The sequence below is a fragment of the Homo sapiens genome, chromosome 19 (genome assembly GCF_000001405.40).
Source record: "Homo sapiens chromosome 19, GRCh38.p14 Primary Assembly".
NCBI classification, from domain to species: Eukaryota; Metazoa; Chordata; class Mammalia; order Primates; family Hominidae; genus Homo; species Homo sapiens.
Window position 1 is genome coordinate 58,211,984 of NC_000019.10, and position 18,977 is coordinate 58,230,960.

At 47.9% G+C, this 18,977-nt stretch overlaps 2 protein-coding genes, 1 long non-coding RNA gene and 2 pseudogenes across 72 annotated transcripts in view, besides 1 other annotated feature; 4 read left to right on the forward strand and 1 right to left on the reverse strand.

Moving 5' to 3' along the window:
• The window catches only part of ZNF274 (zinc finger protein 274), a 30,502-nt gene extending 28,923 nt beyond the window's left edge, over nt 1-1,579 (forward strand). For all 11 annotated transcript variants that reach the window (NM_001278734.2, NM_133502.3, XM_047438078.1 and 8 more), the window contains one exon: nt 178-1,579. In NM_001278734.2, the coding sequence (NP_001265663.1) occupies nt 178-1,160 (983 nt within the window). In that variant the 3' untranslated portion in view covers nt 1,161-1,579. The remainder of the gene's footprint in view (nt 1-177) is intronic.
• A 2,471-nt stretch (nt 1,580-4,050) lies between these two features.
• LOC105372479 (uncharacterized) lies at nt 4,051-4,838 on the reverse strand. Its single transcript, XR_936125.4, has 2 exons — nt 4,749-4,838; nt 4,051-4,242 (listed from the first exon to the last, which is right to left on the reverse strand). It is a non-coding gene; the product is annotated as an uncharacterized LOC105372479 (long non-coding RNA).
• Nucleotides 4,164-4,628, forward strand: RPS15AP36 (ribosomal protein S15a pseudogene 36; annotated as a pseudogene).
• LOC100419847 (zinc finger protein 436 pseudogene) lies at nt 12,523-13,374 on the forward strand (annotated as a pseudogene).
• Nucleotides 16,807-17,633: an enhancer, noted in NCBI's record as "H3K27ac hESC enhancer chr19:58740156-58740982 (GRCh37/hg19 assembly coordinates)". NCBI's record gives its function as "activates a minimal SCP1, AML or CMV promoter by ChIP-STARR-seq in primed H9 embryonic stem cells {active_cell/tissue: H9 hESC(primed)}" and the evidence as "EXISTENCE:reporter gene assay evidence [ECO:0000049][PMID:30033119]".
• Nucleotides 16,931-18,977, forward strand: part of ZNF544 (zinc finger protein 544) — a 48,542-nt gene continuing 46,495 nt past the window's right edge. For 30 of the 60 annotated variants that reach the window (NM_001387399.1, NM_001387425.1, NM_001387418.1 and 27 more), the window contains exons 1-3: nt 16,931-16,963; nt 17,485-17,587; nt 18,411-18,479. The gene's annotated coding sequence lies outside the window, so the exon portion shown is untranslated. Of the gene's footprint in view, nt 17,274-17,484; nt 17,588-18,410; nt 18,515-18,977 lie in introns of all 60 variants that reach the window. The other 30 variants (NM_001387416.1, NM_001387419.1, NM_001387400.1 and 27 more) reach the window with 4 other exon arrangements.

Sequence of the window (18,977 nt, forward strand, 5' to 3'; positions counted from 1 at the left end):
GGTCAGTGCTCCCCTCCCTGCCGCTTCATTGCTTTTCAGTCTCTCTCCAGGTTGCATGACTCTATTTGGGAGAAAAAAAAAATCCTGACTTTTGAACTTAATTATGCATTTCATGCTCTCAGACCCATCCCAGCACATCTCTCTATGGGATCCACATCTTTTGTTTATTTTTTTCAGGGTGGGAGACTACACTGGAAAATAAAGAGTTAGCTCCAAATTCTGACATTCCTGAGGAAGAACCAGCCCCCAGCCTGAAAGTACAAGAATCCTCAAGGGATTGTGCCTTGTCCTCTACATTAGAAGATACCTTGCAGGGTGGGGTCCAGGAAGTCCAAGACACAGTGTTGAAGCAGATGGAGTCTGCTCAGGAAAAAGACCTTCCTCAGAAGAAGCACTTTGACAACCGTGAGTCCCAGGCAAACAGTGGTGCTCTTGACACAAACCAAGTTTCGCTCCAGAAAATTGACAACCCTGAGTCCCAGGCAAACAGTGGCGCTCTTGACACAAACCAAGTTTTGCTCCACAAAATTCCTCCTAGAAAACGATTGCGCAAACGTGACTCACAAGTTAAAAGTATGAAACATAATTCACGTGTAAAAATTCATCAGAAGAGCTGTGAAAGGCAAAAGGCCAAGGAAGGCAATGGTTGTAGGAAAACCTTCAGTCGGAGTACTAAACAGATTACGTTTATAAGAATTCACAAGGGGAGCCAAGTTTGCCGATGCAGTGAATGTGGTAAAATATTCCGGAACCCAAGATACTTTTCTGTGCATAAGAAAATCCATACCGGAGAGAGGCCCTATGTGTGTCAAGACTGTGGGAAAGGATTTGTTCAGAGCTCTTCCCTCACACAGCATCAGAGAGTTCATTCTGGAGAGAGACCATTTGAATGTCAGGAGTGTGGGAGGACCTTCAATGATCGCTCAGCCATCTCCCAGCACCTGAGGACTCACACTGGCGCTAAGCCCTACAAGTGTCAGGACTGTGGAAAAGCCTTCCGCCAGAGCTCCCACCTCATCAGACATCAGAGGACTCACACCGGGGAGCGCCCATATGCATGCAACAAATGTGGAAAGGCCTTCACCCAGAGCTCACACCTTATTGGGCACCAGAGAACCCACAATAGGACAAAGCGAAAGAAGAAACAGCCTACCTCATAGCTCTCAAGCCAGTTGAAGAAACCTTGCCTTTTCAGCTTGACCCTGCAATATAACATGCACAGGCCTGCTTGTGAATCAGGACTGAATGTGAAAGGGAAGTATTGAGTGAGGACATTCCCAAAACCAAAGGACAACTGAGGAGACTGCCCAGCACATAATGAATAAATAAGAAAATGAGTGAGGAGTTATTAACATCATTTGGAAAAAAGATTTCCCATTCACTTGATATTGTTTGTTCACTCATTTAGTCATTAAAAGTGAGATTAATAAAATCTGAAAATGTTATATAATAACTTTAAAAAGCCAGGTAATTAATAATCTGCACTGATATTACATCCACAGTACCACAGTATTTATGTGTATGAATTAAGGATTAAAAGATAATGTGGATAAATAAACTATTGATCTATGTCTGTGTAGAACCTGTGTATTTCCTGCCTGCTTAAATATCTCTATAGTAATGATTAATATTTAAGCAACATTAAAACACAAGGAAGGAGATCATCAGATAGTTCTAGAAGATTCTGTGCAAGGCTGCAGCACCTTGGGCACAAGATACTATGTGAGTTGGGATGACTGAATCTTTCTGCTCCTTAGGGGGTTGTCATGATATGGTTAGGTGGAGGTAAGGAAAATTTAAACCCAAAGGGCTGGAAACCCCAGGCAAGTGTGGGGCTTCCTGGGAATATTCATGTTTCTTTTGTTATTTTTCGCACAGAATCTCATCCTGTCACCCAGGTTTGAGTGCAGAGGTAGAATCATAGCTTACTGTAGCCTCGAACACCTGGGCTCAAAGGATCACCTGGGCTCAAAGATCCTCCTGGCTCAGTCTTTCAAGTAGCTGGGACTATAGGCATGCACCACCATGCCTAGCTTCATTTGGTTTGTGTTTCCATTTTTCCTGAGAGACTATCACAAGGAAGGCAACTGCTCTGGCCAGGAGCCCATCACTAAGTTAAGCAAAAAGACACTGGCAATACTAGAGCATGTACTTGCCCACAGTTCACATTCTTTCTCCAGGTCACATAGCCCACAGTATATGACCCGCTCCATTCCTTGTTCTAGGCTCCACCTTTGCTCTTGAGTTCCATGTAACATTTAACATAAAACTCTGGATCAAAAATACTTAGGTTCAAGACACTGGTTGAGTGCTACTCTGCATAGCCTCTTTAGAACCCTTGGGTCTTGCCAACAAGGGTGAGGTGCAGTCGTGCCATCTAGGATGAGAGTACCTCCTTTCTCTGCAGAAGTGAAAAACCCTTGGAGACAGGACCAGAGTAGATACCTTGAGCCCATGTGCCTGGAGAATGATGGTGGTACACCAGCAGCCCTATTGCCATTCACACATTGGGCACAGGGCTTGTGGTTGCTATGTTGCTTCTAGTCATTTCAGCACTTTAATATGGCACATGTTAGCTTCTTTGAGAACATACACAGTTGAAGAACTTGCCCAGGGACGTTAGTTGGTAAAAACAGCCTCCTCAGCTGTTCAGAACTCTACAATATCACCTCTCAAGAATGAACCAAAGAATGGGACCCTTGAGATTAGAACCTGGTAAACTAAAAATTCCCAGATTCCAAATCCTAGACTGAGGGGTGAGTCCAAAGTTTTAGTGATGGCTTCAGGAACTGAGATGATGGTTTGAGCTGGGTCTGGGAAAATAAGGGACCCAGGAATAGGAAAGGGGGAGAACATACTAGGGTATGGGAGAGCTGATTGGAACTACAAAGTACAAGGCCAGTGGGTCCATTCCAAGGTATGGAATGGCTCATCTCATGGCTGGCACCTGGGCTTGAGGTGGCTCTAAGGCTGAGTTCAGTTGTGTTAGGTTCTCTCATCCAAAGAGCCAGGGTTCCAACAGTATTAGGCAGAAACAGCATGGCTTTTTCTGACCCAGCCTAGGTCACATGGTGTCACCCCAGGACAGTCTATCCTTTACAAGCCAGTCACTAAGGCCAGCCGGATTCAGTGGGAAGGGGGTTAAACTCCATCTCTTGAAGGGAGAGTACCAAGGTTAAGAAAGGCAGGAGAGTGTGGTGGCCAACTCTGGTTAAAAAGGTCTACAAGTATGCCAGCATTTACCTTTAAATACTGTGTATCCCCACCTGTGCTTGCAAGACAGGAAGAGGAAGGCAGGGAGAGAGGCTGCACATGTGGGAGCTGACCCACTAGACACAATTATTAGATGTAGTTTAAATCCTGGCTCTGCTCCTCACTGGGTCTGTGATTGTCAGAAAGAAGATTAATGCCTGGAGGGTCCACGTTCCATATATCCAGTACACCAGTGAAAAGGTACATGACGCTGGGCACAGTGGCTCACGCCTGTAATCCCAGAACTCTGGGAGGATCATCTGAGGCCAGGAGTTAGAGATCAGCCTGGGGAACATGGCAAGATCCTGTCTGGAAAAAAAAAAAAAAAAAAAGGCCAGGTGTGGTGATGCACCTGTAGTCCCAGCTACTCAGGAGGCTGAGGTAGGAGGAATGCTCGAGCCTAAGAGTTTGAGGCTGCAGTGAGCTATGATAGCACCTCTGCACTCCAGCCTGTGTGGGAGTGAGACCTTGTCTCAAAAATAAATTTAAAAATTGTAAAAAGAGGTTACAAAGATGTTAGCTTCTTTGAGAACACATGCAGTTGAGGAACTTGCCCAGGGATGTTGGTAAAAACAGCCTCTTCAGCCATTCAGAACTCTACAATATCACCTCTCAAGAATGAACCAAAGAGTGGGACCAATTAATTCCAGCACATCCACTTATTTGTTCAACAAGAGTGTCTGTATCATTTACCAAGAAGGATTAAAAAGTAATTTTGTTCTCTTTGTTCCTTTGTGGCTGATTTTTAATGCAGAGACTATGTATCCTGGATCTAGCCAGTTGAGCAAACTCTGATTAATTTTAATAGGTTTTACTAAAATCTGGATTTCCATACTTTTAATTTTATGTTAATCTTTGCATAGTTTTCTTCTGAATACAAAGTAACAGAAGATTTGATTTTTTAAAAATCTCTCTTTCCACCATCCTTTGGTGCCGTCGTCAAGGTGCGGATGAATATCCTGTCTGATGTTCTCAAGAGGATCAACAATGCTGAAGAGAGGCAAAAGACAGATTATTACTAGGAGGTGCTCCAAAGACATTCTCCGGTTTCTAATTGTGATGATGAAGCATGGTTACATTGGTAAATTTGACATCACTGATGATCACAGAGCTGGGGAAATTGTCGTGAACCTCACAGGCATGTTAAACAAGTGTGGAATGATCAGCCCCAGATTTGATGTACTCAAAGTTCTAGAAAAACGGCAGAATAATCTGCTTCCATCCTGCCAGTTTGGTTTCATTGTACTGACTTCAGCCGGCATCATGGACCACGAAGCAGCAAGACAAAAATACACAAAAGGGAAAATCCTGGGATTCTTTTTCTAGGGGTGTAATGCTTACAAAAAAAAATGCCTCCGTGGACTACAGTGCATCCAAAAACAAAATAACTGACATTTGTACCACACAAAAGTTACCCTCCAATAGTGTGATCTTTCTTTCTTAAGGTGTAAAACCACACTCGGGGTTGTGGTATTTGATGCTGTGCGAAATTTTACCTTCCCTCGCAGCTCGCGAGAATTTGCGGGGCCATTCAGCATGGCCAGCATGGGTCCGAGTGAGGAGGGTCCATCCTCATTGCACAGGCTACGGAGTGGCTCCCCGGGTACTTTCCAAGGCCAGGTCTCCACCTCGAAGTGCGTCAAAGGCTGCAGGCCCTGGGGAGGCTGACCAGGGCCCGAGGGAGGACGACAAGCGGGGACGTTGGCGGAGGGGTTAATGGCGGAGTCGCGATCCAGCCGAGCCCACAACTCTGGGAGGCTGGTTCTGCCTCTCTCCCGAAGCGTCGCCCGGCTAAGCTTCGAGCACCAGGACACACAACCGCCGACTATTCCAGAGCCCACAGTCGGCTTCACGCTGGAGGCCGGAAACGACACGTCCCCAAAGCCCGCGCGCGCGGCCCGCCAGAACTGACCTACCCAATCACCGCACCGCTGCGATCAAGCGGCGACACACGTTGCCGGGTAAGAGTCACGCTTTGGCAAATAAGCAACCTGCCTCATCCAATCAGCGTCTCGCCTGCCCGGTTAGTTCCTTGTCTTGCCCAACCAGATTCTTGCCTCCTCCATACCGCTACTTGCGTGTGCCGGTGCCTGGCCCAATCAGCGTCTTGCGCCTCTTCTCGCTCCCGGGCCTGGTGGAAACAGACTCAGGGCCATTTTGGCTACACCTGGGAGCAGGGCACCCTGGCGGCTGGCTGCGGCCGCTGCAGAGATGAATGGCCCCGGATCTGTGGAGGCTCGCCTGCCCCTGGGGACCCCGTCCTCGGCCTGGGGGGTAGTGTCAGGTGTGTTTGAACCAGAGCAATTCCATCTTGAATAGGGACTCTCTAAACTAAGGCTAAGACCGGTTGGGCTACATTCCCAGTAAGTTAAGGCATTCTTAGTCACAGGATGAGATAGGAGGTCGGTACAAGATACAGGTCATAAAAACCTTGCCGATAAAACAGCTTGCAATAAAGAAGCCGCCCAAAACCCACCAAAACCAAGATAGCGATGAGAGTGACCTCTGGTCGTCCTCGCTGCTACACTCTCACCAGGGCCATGACAGTTACAAATGCCATGGCAACGTCAGGAAGTTACCCTATATGGTCTAAAAAGGGGAGGCGTGAATAATCCACCCGATGTTTAGCATATCATTAAGAAATAACCATAAAAATGGGCAACCAGCAGTCCTCGGGGCTGCTCTGTCTATGGAGTAGCCATTCTTTATTCCTTTACTTTCCTAATAAACTTGCTTTCACTTTATGGACTGGACTTGAATTCTTTCTTGCATGAGATCCACAAACCCTCTCTTGAGATCTGGATCGGGACTCCCTTTCCGGTAACAGTGAGAGCCCAGACTGGAGACAGGTGGTCACAGGCTCCTAGGGGATTGGGGCCCTAGGGAGCCGTTGGTCTGTGCAACCGCCAGGCCCCGCCCGGGTCTCCTCATTAGGCTCAGGCGCACAAGCGCTGAGCTGGCCTGGTCCTCAATCACAGGTGAGAAGCATCCCGTTCCCACCTTGGGAATGGCCCAGCGCCTGCCGGTCCTAGACGCCCAGCCTGGCCTGGCCACGGACTCTTGGTGAAGGGTTGGGCTGCGCATCACTCAGCTGTGGTAGTGGTGATGATGGTAGGGGTGCTGGGGGACTCGAGCTGTGTCCTGAGCAGAAACTTGAAAGAAATGTGAGTAGCTCTGCCGGGACCACGCATCTCTAGGCACGCCCGGCAGGGGGAATATCGAGATGCTTACTACACCAGTTTGTGTTTTGCCATATCCAGGATCCTCAGTCTTATTTGCTGAATAATAATTTTTATTATTTACTTATTTACTTTTTGATAAGGAGTCTCACTCTGTCGCCCAGGCTGGAGTGCAGTGGCGCCATGTCGGCTCGCTGCAAGCTCCGCCTGCCGGGTTCACGCCATTCTCCTGCCTCAGCCTCCGGAGTAGCTGGGACTACAGGCGCCCGCCACGACGCCCTGCTAATTTTTTTTTTTTTTTTTAAGTAGAGACGGGGTTTCACCGTGTTAGCCAGGATGGTCTGGATCTCCTGACCTCGTGATCTGCCCGCCTCAGCCTCCCAAAGTGCTGGGATTACAGGCGTGAGCCACCGCGCCCGGCCTGCTGAATAATTTTTTTAAATCCATGCGTTAAAATTCAAAATTTATAAACTGATTTAAAAGGGATCATTTGGGTCGCGCCCTGTGGGTCAGGCCTGTAATCCCAGCACTTTGGGAGGCCCAGACGGGTGAATCGCTTGAGCCCAGGAGTTCGAGATCAGCCTGGGCAACACAGCAAGACTGCATATCTGGGAAAAAAAAATGCTGGGCATGGTGGCACACACCTGTAGTCCTAGCTACTTGGGAGGATCGCTTGAGCCCAGGAGTTGGCTGCTGCAGTAAGCTGTGATTGTACCGCTGCACTCCAGCCTGGCCAGCAGAGGGAGACCTTGTCTCAAAAAAAGAGGGGTGGGGGGGTGGGGCCTTTTGGTTATTTACTTGCCAAAATAAACGTGAGTTAAATACAGTTGGTTAAAGGCCCAGCGCAGTGGCTCACACCTGTAATTCTAAAACTTTGGGAGGCTGAGGTGGGTGGATCACTCGAGGTCAGGAGTTCGAGACCAGCCTGGGCAACCTGGAGAAATCCGTTCTCTACCAAAAATACAAACATTAGCCAGGCACACCTGTAGTCCCAACTACTCAGAATCCTGAGGCAGGAGAATCCCTTGAACACAGGAGGCAGAGGTTGCACTGATCCGAGATCATGCCACTGCACTCCAGGCTGGACAACAGAGTGAGTGAGACTCCATCTCAAAATCATCATCATTATCATCATCTACAAGGGGAAAATGGCAGAAGTTAAGACAATTTTGAACAGGAAGAACAATGTACGGAATGTCTTACCAAAATGAAAGTGTGTATTGTTAAGCTGAAGTAATTAAAACTGTGACCCTGGAGCAGACAGAGACAGAGCAATGCAACAAAGCTATGTAGAGATGGCATTTGTGGCATATGATAAAGCAGCCATTTTTAAGTTATCCAGAAAAGAGGGAATGTTCTGAAAATGTGCTGGGAGAGTATATAGTTGTCTGGAAGAAAATTAAGTCAGACCTCCATCATACCATACAGAAAGTTAAATTTCAGAGGGATGAAAGAACATAGGGCCAGGCACAGTGGCTCATGCCTGTAATCCCAGCACTTCGGGAGGCTGAGGCGCGGGCAGATCACCTGAGGTCAGGAGTTCGAGATAAGCCTGGCCAACATGGTGAAACGCCATCTCTACTAAAAATACAAAGATTAACCGGGTGTGCTGGCAGACGTCTGTAATCACAGCTGCTCGGGGGGCTGAGACAGGAGAATTGCTTGAACCCGGGAGGCAGAGGTTGCAGTGAGCCAAGATCACAACACTGCAGTCCAGCCTAGGTGATGGAGCAACACTCTGTCTTAAAAAAAAAAAAAAAAGAGCCAAGCGTGGTGGCTCATGCCTGTAACCCCAGCACTTTAGGAGGCCAAGGTGGGCAGATCACCTGAGATCAAGAGTTCGAGACCAGCCTGGCCAACATGGCAAAACCCCATCTCTACTAAAAGTACAAAAATTAGCCAGGCGTGGTGGTGGGTGCCTGTAATCCCAGCTACTCAGGAGGCTGAGGCAGGAGAATTGCTTGAACCCGGGAGGCGGAAGTTGCAGTGAGCTGAGATGGAGTCACTGCACTCCAGCCTGGGCGACAAGAGTGAGACTCCGTCTCAAAAAAAAAAACAAAAAAAAAATCACACTCAACAATTTATCAAAAGGATGACAGTATATTTAAACTCAGGAATGCAAGAATGCTTCAGGCCGGGCATGGTGGCTCACACCTGTAATCCCAGAACTTTGGGAGGCCGAGGCAGGTGGATCACGAGGTCAGGAGATCGAGACCATCCTTGCTAACATGGTGAAACCCCATCTCTACTAAAAATACAAAAAATACAAAAAATTAGCTGGGCGTGGTGGTGGGCGCCTGTAGTCCCAGCTACTGAGGCAGCAGAATGGCGTGAACCCGGCAGGCGGAGCTTGCAGTGAGCCAAGATTGCGCCACTGCACTCCAGCCTGGGTGACAGAGCGAGACTCCGTCTCACAAAAAAAAAAAAAAAAAAAAAAGAAAATGATTTAAAAGATCAAAAGGAAAAATAAATGCTTATGACAGTCTGACAGCCAAGAAAATTATAATCAAAATAACAGTCAAGGAACCGGCCTTGCTTGATATTAAAATGTCATTATAATCTCAACAGAATGGTATTATATTATTATTTATTTGTTTGTTTATGTATTTATTTTTGAGACGGAGTCTCGCTCTGTCGCCCAGGCTGGAGTGCAGTGGCACGATCTCGGCTCACTGCAAGCTCTGCCTCCCGGGTTCACGCCATTCTCCTGCCTCAGCCTCCCGAGTAGCTGGGACTACAGGTGCCCGCCACTATGCCCAGCTAATTTTTTGTATTTTTAGTAGAGACGGGGTTTCACTGTGTTAGCCAGGATGGTCTCGATCTCCTGACCTCGTGATCCACCCGCCTCGGCCTCCCAAAGTGCTGGGATTACAGGAGTGAGCCACCGTGCCCGGCCTATTGATTTATTTTTTTGACACGGAGTCTCACTCCCTCACCCAGGCTGGAGTGCAATGGCGCGATCTTGGCTCACTACAACCCCCGCCTCCCGGATTCAAGCGATTCTCCTGCCTCAGCGTCCCCAGTAGTTGGGATTACAGGCGTCCGCCACCACTCCCGGCTACAGAATGGTATTATTATAAGAATTGACAAATGGATGTGTGGAAGAAAAATGATAGCTTATTTGAAAAGTGATTTTGGGAGAATTCTAGCTTTCCCAGTAAGCTGATGCCTGCATCAGACCTCAAACAAAAGTAATTCCTAATAGACTAATGATTTGTATGTTTTTAAAATTTTTTTTATATTTTGAGATGGAGTCTTGCTCTGTCACCCAGGCTGGAATGCAGTGCCGAGATCTTGGCTCACTGCAACCTCTGCCTCCCAGGTTCAAGCGATTCTCCCCGCTCAGCCCCACTAGTAGCTGGGATTACAGGCGCGTGGCATAATGCCCTGGCTAATTTTTGTATTTTTAGTAGAGACAGGGTCTCACCATGTTGGCCAGGCTGTTCTCAAACTCCTGACCTCAAGCTATCCACCCGCCCTGGCTTCCTAAAGTGCTGGGATTACAGGCTTGAGTCACCGCACCTGGCCAGATTTGCATGTTTTAAAAAGTGCAAAAGAAAATTTAGAAGACTACATAAACATAAAATCTGTGGCTTGCAATACTTTTTAAAGCAAGACAAAAAACTCAGATCTATTCATAAAGGAAGAGTAGACAACATACTTTACATAAAAAGAATTTTTTTTTTTTTCGAGACAAAGTCTTGTTCTGTCACCTAGGCTGGAGTGCAGTGGTGCAATCTCGGCTCACTGCAACCTCTGCCTCCTGAGTTCAAACGATTCTCATGCCTCACCCGCCTGAGTCGCTGGGATTACAGGCATGCACCGCCAGGCCTGGCTGATGATTGTATTTTTAGTAGAGATGGATTTTGCCATGTTGGCCAGGCTGTCTTGAACTGGCCTCAAGTGATTCTCTTGCCTGAGCTTCCCAAAGTGCTGAGATTACAAGCATGAGCCACTGCATCTGGCCTAAAAAGAATTTTTTGTATGCTAAAATAGATACCATAAATTTAAAAAGAGAATAAACTATGTATTGAGAAAAATATTTGTTACACAAATGACAGACGAGATTAACATTGATAAACTATCATGAACGCCTATAAAGTGCCAAAAAAGAAAAAAATATTAATTAGACAAAACACAGAAAACAAAACCTCAAATAACCAGTAAGAATATGTAAAGATCCTGAAATCACAAGTAGCTAGGGAATACAAATTACACAAAATGTTACTTTTACCCAAAATACTGGCAAAATACAAAGGATAATACCCAATGCTGGAAAGAATAGGGACTATTATTCTCACTTTGGAAAGTAATTTGGTAATACCTAAGAGAATCAAAAATACACTTATCCTTCAACTTGTGCAGTCCCACTGGAGGGGCTCTGACCTATAGAAATGAAGGCACTAATTCTGGGTGTCCGGGGGTGTTTACTACAGTATTGTTTATGTTGTGTTTGGAAATAGAGAAGAGTGTGGGAGGTGAATGCTAGGATTTTACACTGAAAGAGGTGCAGATGAGGGGGAAGAAGTAGGCTGGAGCAAATTGAAAGTGATGTCTGCTATAATTAGTTAAGAGAAAATATGAATGTAAGGTTCAATGTATGAAGTTTTTTTTTTTCTTTTTCTTTTTTTTTTTTTTTTTTTAGACAGTCTTGCCCTGTTGCCCAGGCTGGAATGCAATGGCATGACCTTGGCTCACTGCAACCTCTGCCTCCCAGATTCAATCAATTCTCCTGCCTCAGCCTCCCGAGTAGCTGAGCCTCCCGCCACCATGCCTGGCTAATTGTTGTATTTTTAGTAGAGACAGGGTTTCACCGCGTTGGTCAGGCTGGTCTTGAACTCCTGACCTTGTGGTCTGCCCACTTCAGCCTCTCAAAGTGCTGGAATTACAGGCGTGAGCTACTGAGCCCAGCCACAAGGTATGAAGTTTTTCTAGACATGTAAAAGTGAGCATGCACTTGGGCAAAAACGAGAGTCATCCAAAAATGAAAACATAAGATTTAATTTCAGGATGGGAGTCTATGTCATCTTCTATTTGAATTTTCTGTTATTTCCTGAGTTCCAACTTTTTTCCACTCCAGATAATTCATACTATAATATTTCCATAAACCTGGCTCACAGAATAAAAGTTTGAAAAATAAGTTTATTTCAATAATCATTAGAAAAATTATAGTCGGGCACGGTGGCTCATGCCGGTAATCCCAGCACTTTGGGAGGCCGAGGCTGGCAGATCACGAGGTCAGGGATTCGAGACCAGCTGATCAACATAGTGAAACCCCGACTCTACTAAAAGTACAAAAATTAGCAGGGCGTGGTGGTGCGCGCCCATAATCCCAGCTACTCAGGAGGCTGAGGAAGGAGAATTGCTTGAACCTGGGAGGCAGAGGTTGCAGTGAGCCAAGATCGCACCACTGCACTCCAGCCTGGGCGACAGAACGAGACTCTGTCTCAAAAAAAAAAATTATGGAAGTGAAAAATTGTGCAAAAATGAGTGTGTACCAACTTTCTGTCAGAGCTTCACCTTAATCATCTAATAAGAAAGCAAACAAAAGATAAACTGTATAAGCATGCCAACAATAATCTTTATTTCTGCCATGTTTTACCCTTTAATATTCAGAAGAAAAGTCATACAGGAGGAAAATTTTATAACTATAGTAAATATAGACAACTTGAACAACACTAGATCTCTACTGGCCAAAAGGAAAAAACAAAAAACAACCCCCAGTATATCCCTAAATGTACACCAGAGAATCTTAAAAGATAAAATAATTTGGCCAGGCACGGTGGCTCCCGCCTGTAATCTCAGCACTTTGGGAGGCCGAGGTGGGCGGATCACGAGGTCAGGAGATCGAGACCATCCTGGCTAACACGGTGAAATTCCATCTGTACTAAAAATACAAAAACAAAATTAGCCAGGCATAGTGGCGGGGGTCTGTAATCCCAGCTACTCCAGAGGCTGAAGCAGGAGAGTGGCATGAACCCAGGAGGCGGAACTTGCAGTGAGCAGAGATCGCACCACTGCACTACAGCCTGGGCAACAAAGCAAGACTCAAAAAAAAAAATAAAATAATTCATGTGATTATAATAAATTTGAGAAAAACTTCTTTTATAGCTCTTGCCTTTCTCAAAGGGGGAGGACTCATCCTGGAGAGAAACCCCATGGATGTATTCAACATGGTAAATCTTTTTGATGGAGCTCTCACCTAGTTGCACATCACAACTTATACCAGATAGAAAATTTATGAATGTAATCAATGTGGAAAGTTTTTCAGCCTGGTGCTCCCACCTTGTTAGACGTATACTGAAGACTCTGGGAACATCGGGAACGTCAGAGAGCTTTCAGCAGGAGATCTCATCTAATTGGGCAATAGAAAACTCATACTGAAGAAAAACAATTCCATGTAATCAATGTGAGAAATATTTCAGTGACATCCTTGATTTTAATTGGCATCAGGGAAAGTGTAATAGAGAGAAGCCTTATGAATGTAGTCAAGGTAGGAAATCTTTCTATACAGCTCTGGCCTTGTTGCACATAAAATAACTCATACTGGAAAGAAGCTTCGTGACTGTAATCAGTGTTGGAAATGGTTCAGTTAGAGTTCTCACTTGTTGCTCATCAGATAAATCATACCGGTGAGAAACTGCGAGTGTCCTGAGTGTAGGAAATCAGCTGGAGCTGATTACTTATATGGCATCAGAGATTTCACATTAGAGAGAAACCTCATGAATGTCACTGGTGTGGAAAATCCCGCAGCAAGAATTCTCACCTTATTGAACAGCAAATAACTCATTCTGGAGAGAAGCCTATAAATGTAGTCAACGTGGAAAAACTTTCAGACAGAATTATTATTGTGTATGCACCAAAAAATTCATATGGGCAAAAGCCAACATGAATGTCTAAATGTGAAAAAGCCTTCAGGAGACTATCTGACCTTATGGAACACCAGATCATTCATAATAGAGAGAAACTGTATGCATATAATCAGTGCAGAAAGGCCTTTCAGGCAGCATTCTAATCATGTCAGGCACCAGATAACTCATTCTTGAGTCAAACTGTTAATGAACTTTTTATTTATTTTATTTTATTTTTGAGATGGAGTCTCGCTCTGTTGCCCAGGCTGGAGTGCAGTGGCGTGATCTCGGCTCACTGCAAGCTCCGCCTCCTGGGTTCACGTCATTCTCCTGCCTCAGCCTCCCAAGTAGCTGGGACTACAGGTGCCCGCCACCATGCCCGGCTAATTTTTTGTATTTTTTTTTTGAGATGGAGTCTCCCTGTTGCCCAGGCTGGAGTGTGGTGACACAATCTCAGCTCACTGCAACCTCCACCTCCCGGGTTCAAGCTATTCTCCTGCCTCAGCCTCCCGAGTAGCAGGGATTACAGACACACACCACCATGCCCAGCTAATTTTTTTGTATTTTTAGTAGAGACGGGGTTTCACCATGATGGCCAAGCTGGTTTTGAACTCCTGACCTCAAGTGATCCGCCCGCCTCGGCCTCCCAAAGTGCTAGGATTACAGGCGTGAGCCACCGTGCCCGGCCTAATTTTTTGTATTTTTTAGTGGCGACGGGGTTTCACCATGTTAGCCAGGATGGTCTCGATCTTCTGACCTCGTGATCCACCTGCCTTGGCCTCCCAAAGTGCTGGGATTACAGGCGTGAGCGACCGCACCTGGCCAATGAACTTTTTAAATTGAGACAGGGTTTCACTCTGTCATCCAGGCTGGAGTATAGTGGCAAGATCATCACTCCCTGCAGCCTCAACCTCTTGGTCTCAAGTGATCTTCCAACCTCAGCCTCCCAAAGTTCTGGGGTTACAGGTGTGAGGCATTGTGCCCAGCCATAACTTTTAAAAGATTTTCTTCCCTTTTATTTAGACATCAAGGTAAAAGTAACTTTTTTTTTTTTTTTTTTTGAGTCAGAGGCAGGCTGGAGGAGTGCAGTGGCACCATCTCGGCTCACTGCAACCTCCACCTCCTGGGCTCAAGCCATTCTCCTGTCTCAGCCTCCTGAGTAGCTGGGATTACAGGTGCCCACCACCACACCTGGCTAGTTTTTGTATTTTTAGTAGAGACAGGGTTTCGCCATGTTGGCCAGGCTGACCTTGCACTCATGACCTCAGGTGATTCACCTGTCTCAGCCTCCCAAAGTGCTGGAATTACAGGCATAAGCCACTGTGCCCAGCCAAAGGTAACATTTTTAATGTAACAATATATGGTCATTCTTTGCTCTTATGACACAATCCTACAAAAGGCGATCACTAAGCTTAAGCACTAAGCCTAAAACTGAATAATATAAACACTGATGTAGGGAAAGTTGTTCCTCAGACGACTCCATTATTGATACAGACATGGAAACAGTAAACAGAAATGTAACATCAAAGTTCTTATTTACTTGAACTTTTTTTTTTTTTGAGACGGAGTCTCCCTCTGTTGCCCAGGCTAGAGTGCAGTGGCGTGATCTTGGCTCACTGCAAGCTCCGCCTCCTGGGTTCAGGGCCATTCTCCTGCCTCAGCCTCCCAAGGAGCTGGGACTACAGGCTCCCGCCACCACGCCCGGCTAATTTTTTGTATTTTTTGTAGAGACGGGGTTTCACCATGTTAACCAGGATGGTCTCGATCTCCTGACTTCGTGATCGGCCTGCCTCAGCCTCCCAAAGTGCTGGGATTACAGGCGTGAGCCACCACTCCTGGCCTGAAATTTTCTATAATAAAAACAAACAAGATCATTTATTATCTCATAATGAAAAGTCCCTGAGGTGAGCATAGGCAATGTTGATTCAGTGGCACAAAGAGGATTCATTCCATCATGGATACTGGTTCTTTCCATTTTTCTGCTGTGCCATTCTCAGCATGTTGCCTTTACCTCCTGGGGTGGCTTCCTCATGGTGCCAGTGTGCTTGTAATTGTCCTACACATCACATACAGACATCACGGTCCAGGGGCAAAAGAAGACACATTGCTATCTTATGTCCACTTTTAAGACTGAGGGAACCGGCCGGGAGCGGTGGCTCATGCCTGTAATGCCAGCACTTTGGGAGGCCGAGGCGGGTGGATCATGAGGTCAGGAGATCGAGACCATCCTGGCTAACAGGGAGAAACACCGTCTCTACTAAAAAAGAAAAATTACAAAAAATTAGCCGGGCGTGGTGGCGGGCGCCTGTAGTCCCAGCTACTCGGGAGGCTGAGGCAGGAGAAAGGCGTGAACCCGGAAGGCGGAGAGTGCCGTGGGCCTAGATCGTACCACTGCACTCCAGCCTGGTGGACAGAGCGAGACTCCGTCTCACAAAAAAAAAAAAAAAAAAAAAAAAAAAAAAAGACTGAGGGAACCTTCCCAGGAAACCCCTAGCAGCCTTATTTCTCCTTGGCCAGAATATCCTTGCCTAATTCACACAGCAAGAAGCTTGAGTCCATTCTGATTAGCTTAGAATCCATCAAGATCCTCCCTTAGGGAGTTAGATTCTAGATTTCCCGGAAGAATCTAAAAATTGCAGGGTCGTGCTAGCCAGGTATGAAAATAAGCAAGTAAAAAGATGATGACTGTTGGGTAAAGCTATCGACAAGGTCAGCTACAAAACAGTCAAGCCAAGGAAGGCTAGTCACAGATGCACCCCAGACACAAAAGCACAGTCCAGGAGCTGAGGGTGCCTGAGCCACAGTGGTTCCCGCCTACCTGGCCTTCGTAGGAAAGTTTCCTGTGGTCTCCCTCATTGAAGAGCCAGGACGGGTCAGGCGGTGGTGGGTCTCAGACATTGAGCCCCACAACGCACTGAGACTGAACATCAGACCATTTATAATAACAGAACTCTGTCCCACAACTTCTGCAGCAATAGGTACAAAACAGAACTTGGTCACTGCCAGCCTCCCTATTTTTTTCCCTGTCCCACTTAGGAGCTACCACAGAAAGCCAAATAGGCTCGACTGAGCGATCACCTAGGACGAATCGCCTCCAGTTAGCGTGCTTCCACCTTCCACTCGGAATGCTCCAAGCAGGGCACTCCCGGGGCTTTGTTTCTATCACTAGGACGCGTCCCCACGCCCAGGCTGTCCCTGAGTCCCTGCCACAGGCGCAGATGTTGGCGGGCGCCCTTGCCCCTGAGCTCCCGGTTAACGGCCTTGGACTGTTCTCATGGCTCAGTCTTGGTCTCTCTCCCCAGCAGGGCAAGGCGCCGGGAAGGCACCCGAGATGACAGCGCCGAGCCCCATAGGCGCTAGTCCCGCCCTGGACGCCGACCGCCGCCTCCACAGTCTCGGCTTCGGTTGCTGGATGAGAACCAGCGTGGCCCGTTTAAGGGGGAGGGGACAGGCGCTGCAAGGAGCAGAGCCGCGGGAAGCAACTCCCTAAGCCACAATGCTAGTCGCGAACACAGGAAAAAGCTCATCCCGCCGCCGCGGGGCCCCATGCTCCCGCCGGCAATGACTATGCCTGTGGGAGCAACGGCTACCGGCGCGCGGCCTTCTGGGAGTTGTTTGTTGCGCGGAGCGCGGGCACGTCCGCCGGCCACCGGAAGCACCGCCATTGGCCGGTGCGTGCAGGTGAGTCTGGCGGCCTCAAGGTTGGCTCGGAGGTTTCACTGTTAGCCGGGTGCGGCCGGAGCGCAGGACCAGGCCAGAGCCGCCCCAAGTGATCTGGGCGTGCCGGAGAAACGAGCAGGGCCTGCGGGGGTCCCTCATGCGGCGAGGCCGAGCAAGGGCAGGGGCCTGATGGGATCGGGATCTCTCCGGCCTCAGGGACGGGGAAGGCCGGTCCAGTCAGGTTTCCCCTGCAGGAGCGCCCGGCTGGGTCTGAGCTTGTCGGGAGGCTCTCCTGCTGCAGAGCTGGGAGGGAACTTATAGTACCTCGCAGGTACGGGCAGGGGTGGAACTGGGTGGGACTGGGTGGGACTGGGTGGGACTGGGTGGGACTGGGTGGGCCCTCCCGACAGAGGGTGCCTGGGTCGAGGGCTGCAGGGGCGGGGGATTCAGGCTGGCGTCTGGAGCTCTGGGGCTGCCGACCCAGCGGGCCTCTCCCGGCTCCTTTTTCCTCCCTCAACTCATCTTCTGCGGCTTATCCACAGGTGGCAGCCAAGAGCCTCCTGGCACAGCGGCACCAGGCAGGTGACGCCTATTGGACCCCAGAGGTCATCCCAGCTCCAGACGTGGACACATTTTCTTCCAATGGTACGTGAAGCTTGAACCTTGCAGAGAACATGTGTATTTTCCAAGTGAACAGAAGATTAAGGCCAGTCCACGCAGGGCAGGGGTAACTGGGGTGTTGGGGGCCTGCACTGGTTAAGCGATGCTGGTGCACCCCATAGAGAGACTACAGAGGTGAACAGGATGGGATGTGTATGTAACGCCTGTAAGTTAGGGATCGGGGTTCCATTTGTGTTGGGTGATATTTGATGGGGACCGTACAAGGCAGTGCTAATGAGGAAGGCATGGGGTTGGATTTCAAGAGTCTAAGGGAGTAGGGAAACATCTGATTGTGGAAATGACTCCGTGTAAGGAGGGATGCCAAAAGACAGGAAGGAGTGGAGGAAGACTGTGTTTCTGTTTCCAGCGTGGAGCCAGGGTAGAAGTCACAGTGCAAGGAAGATGTGGTATGCCTGGTCAGTCTCTGCATGGGAGTTGAGGAGCATGTGGGTGACATGGCTGAATGTGGAGGAGGGAATGGCAGTGGCAGGAAGCCCAGGAGGTTTGGGCTGGACACGTAACCTGGAGCAGATTGGAAACGTCACCCCACAAGCAGGGAAGGAGAAAACTGGAAAAGGAAAGAGAAAGCAACTCCCTCCCCAGCCCTGCAGCCAGAGGGACTTCTGCCAGATCAGCCACCATACAGGTCCAGTATGAGGAACAGATGGGGAATTTTATGTCCAAGTATAATCACTATGAATACATGTGTTGTGCCCCTTTTGCAGGTTAACACAATGTTAAGCTCTGTAAATGCAACTCAATTAATTCTTTTAGCATCCTCACAAGGCAGGTCTTGCTGTTTTTCCAGATGTCTACGGATGAGGAAACTGAGGCCTGGAGAGGTTAAAGAGACCCGTTCAGAGTCCTACAGTGGCAGGTAATGGAGCCAGTACTTTGACAGCAGGTTGCAAAGTGAGTGTTCTCAGCCGTTGCCCTTGGATGCCTCCAGACAAGGAAGGACAGGGTTAGAGAGCAAAGATGGACACAGGCAGTGAGAGATTCCCCAGGGAAGGCCAGGAGCATCAGGACAAGATAGTAACACATAAGATATTGGGCAGACCTCTTGGATGTGGTCTACATTTGTGTTTGTGTGTGTGTTTGGGAGTGAGAGAGCAGAGCAGGATGGGCAAGATGAGGAGGGGGAAACTGAGAGTGTTGGTCACTCTGTTCAGGCCTCACCTGAGAGGAGAAGAGGCAGGGGGTGGGGCACTGGGATATGGATTCATCTTGACCAGGGAGAAGACATCTCAGCTCAGAATTTGAAGGGAGCTACTAATGAGTGCAGGCCTGCAGGAGTTTGTGTGCCAGGAGGTTGAAAGAGTCCAGAGTCATCCCTTGGAGTGAATTAAAAGGCCGATTTGTCTGCACAGAGAGG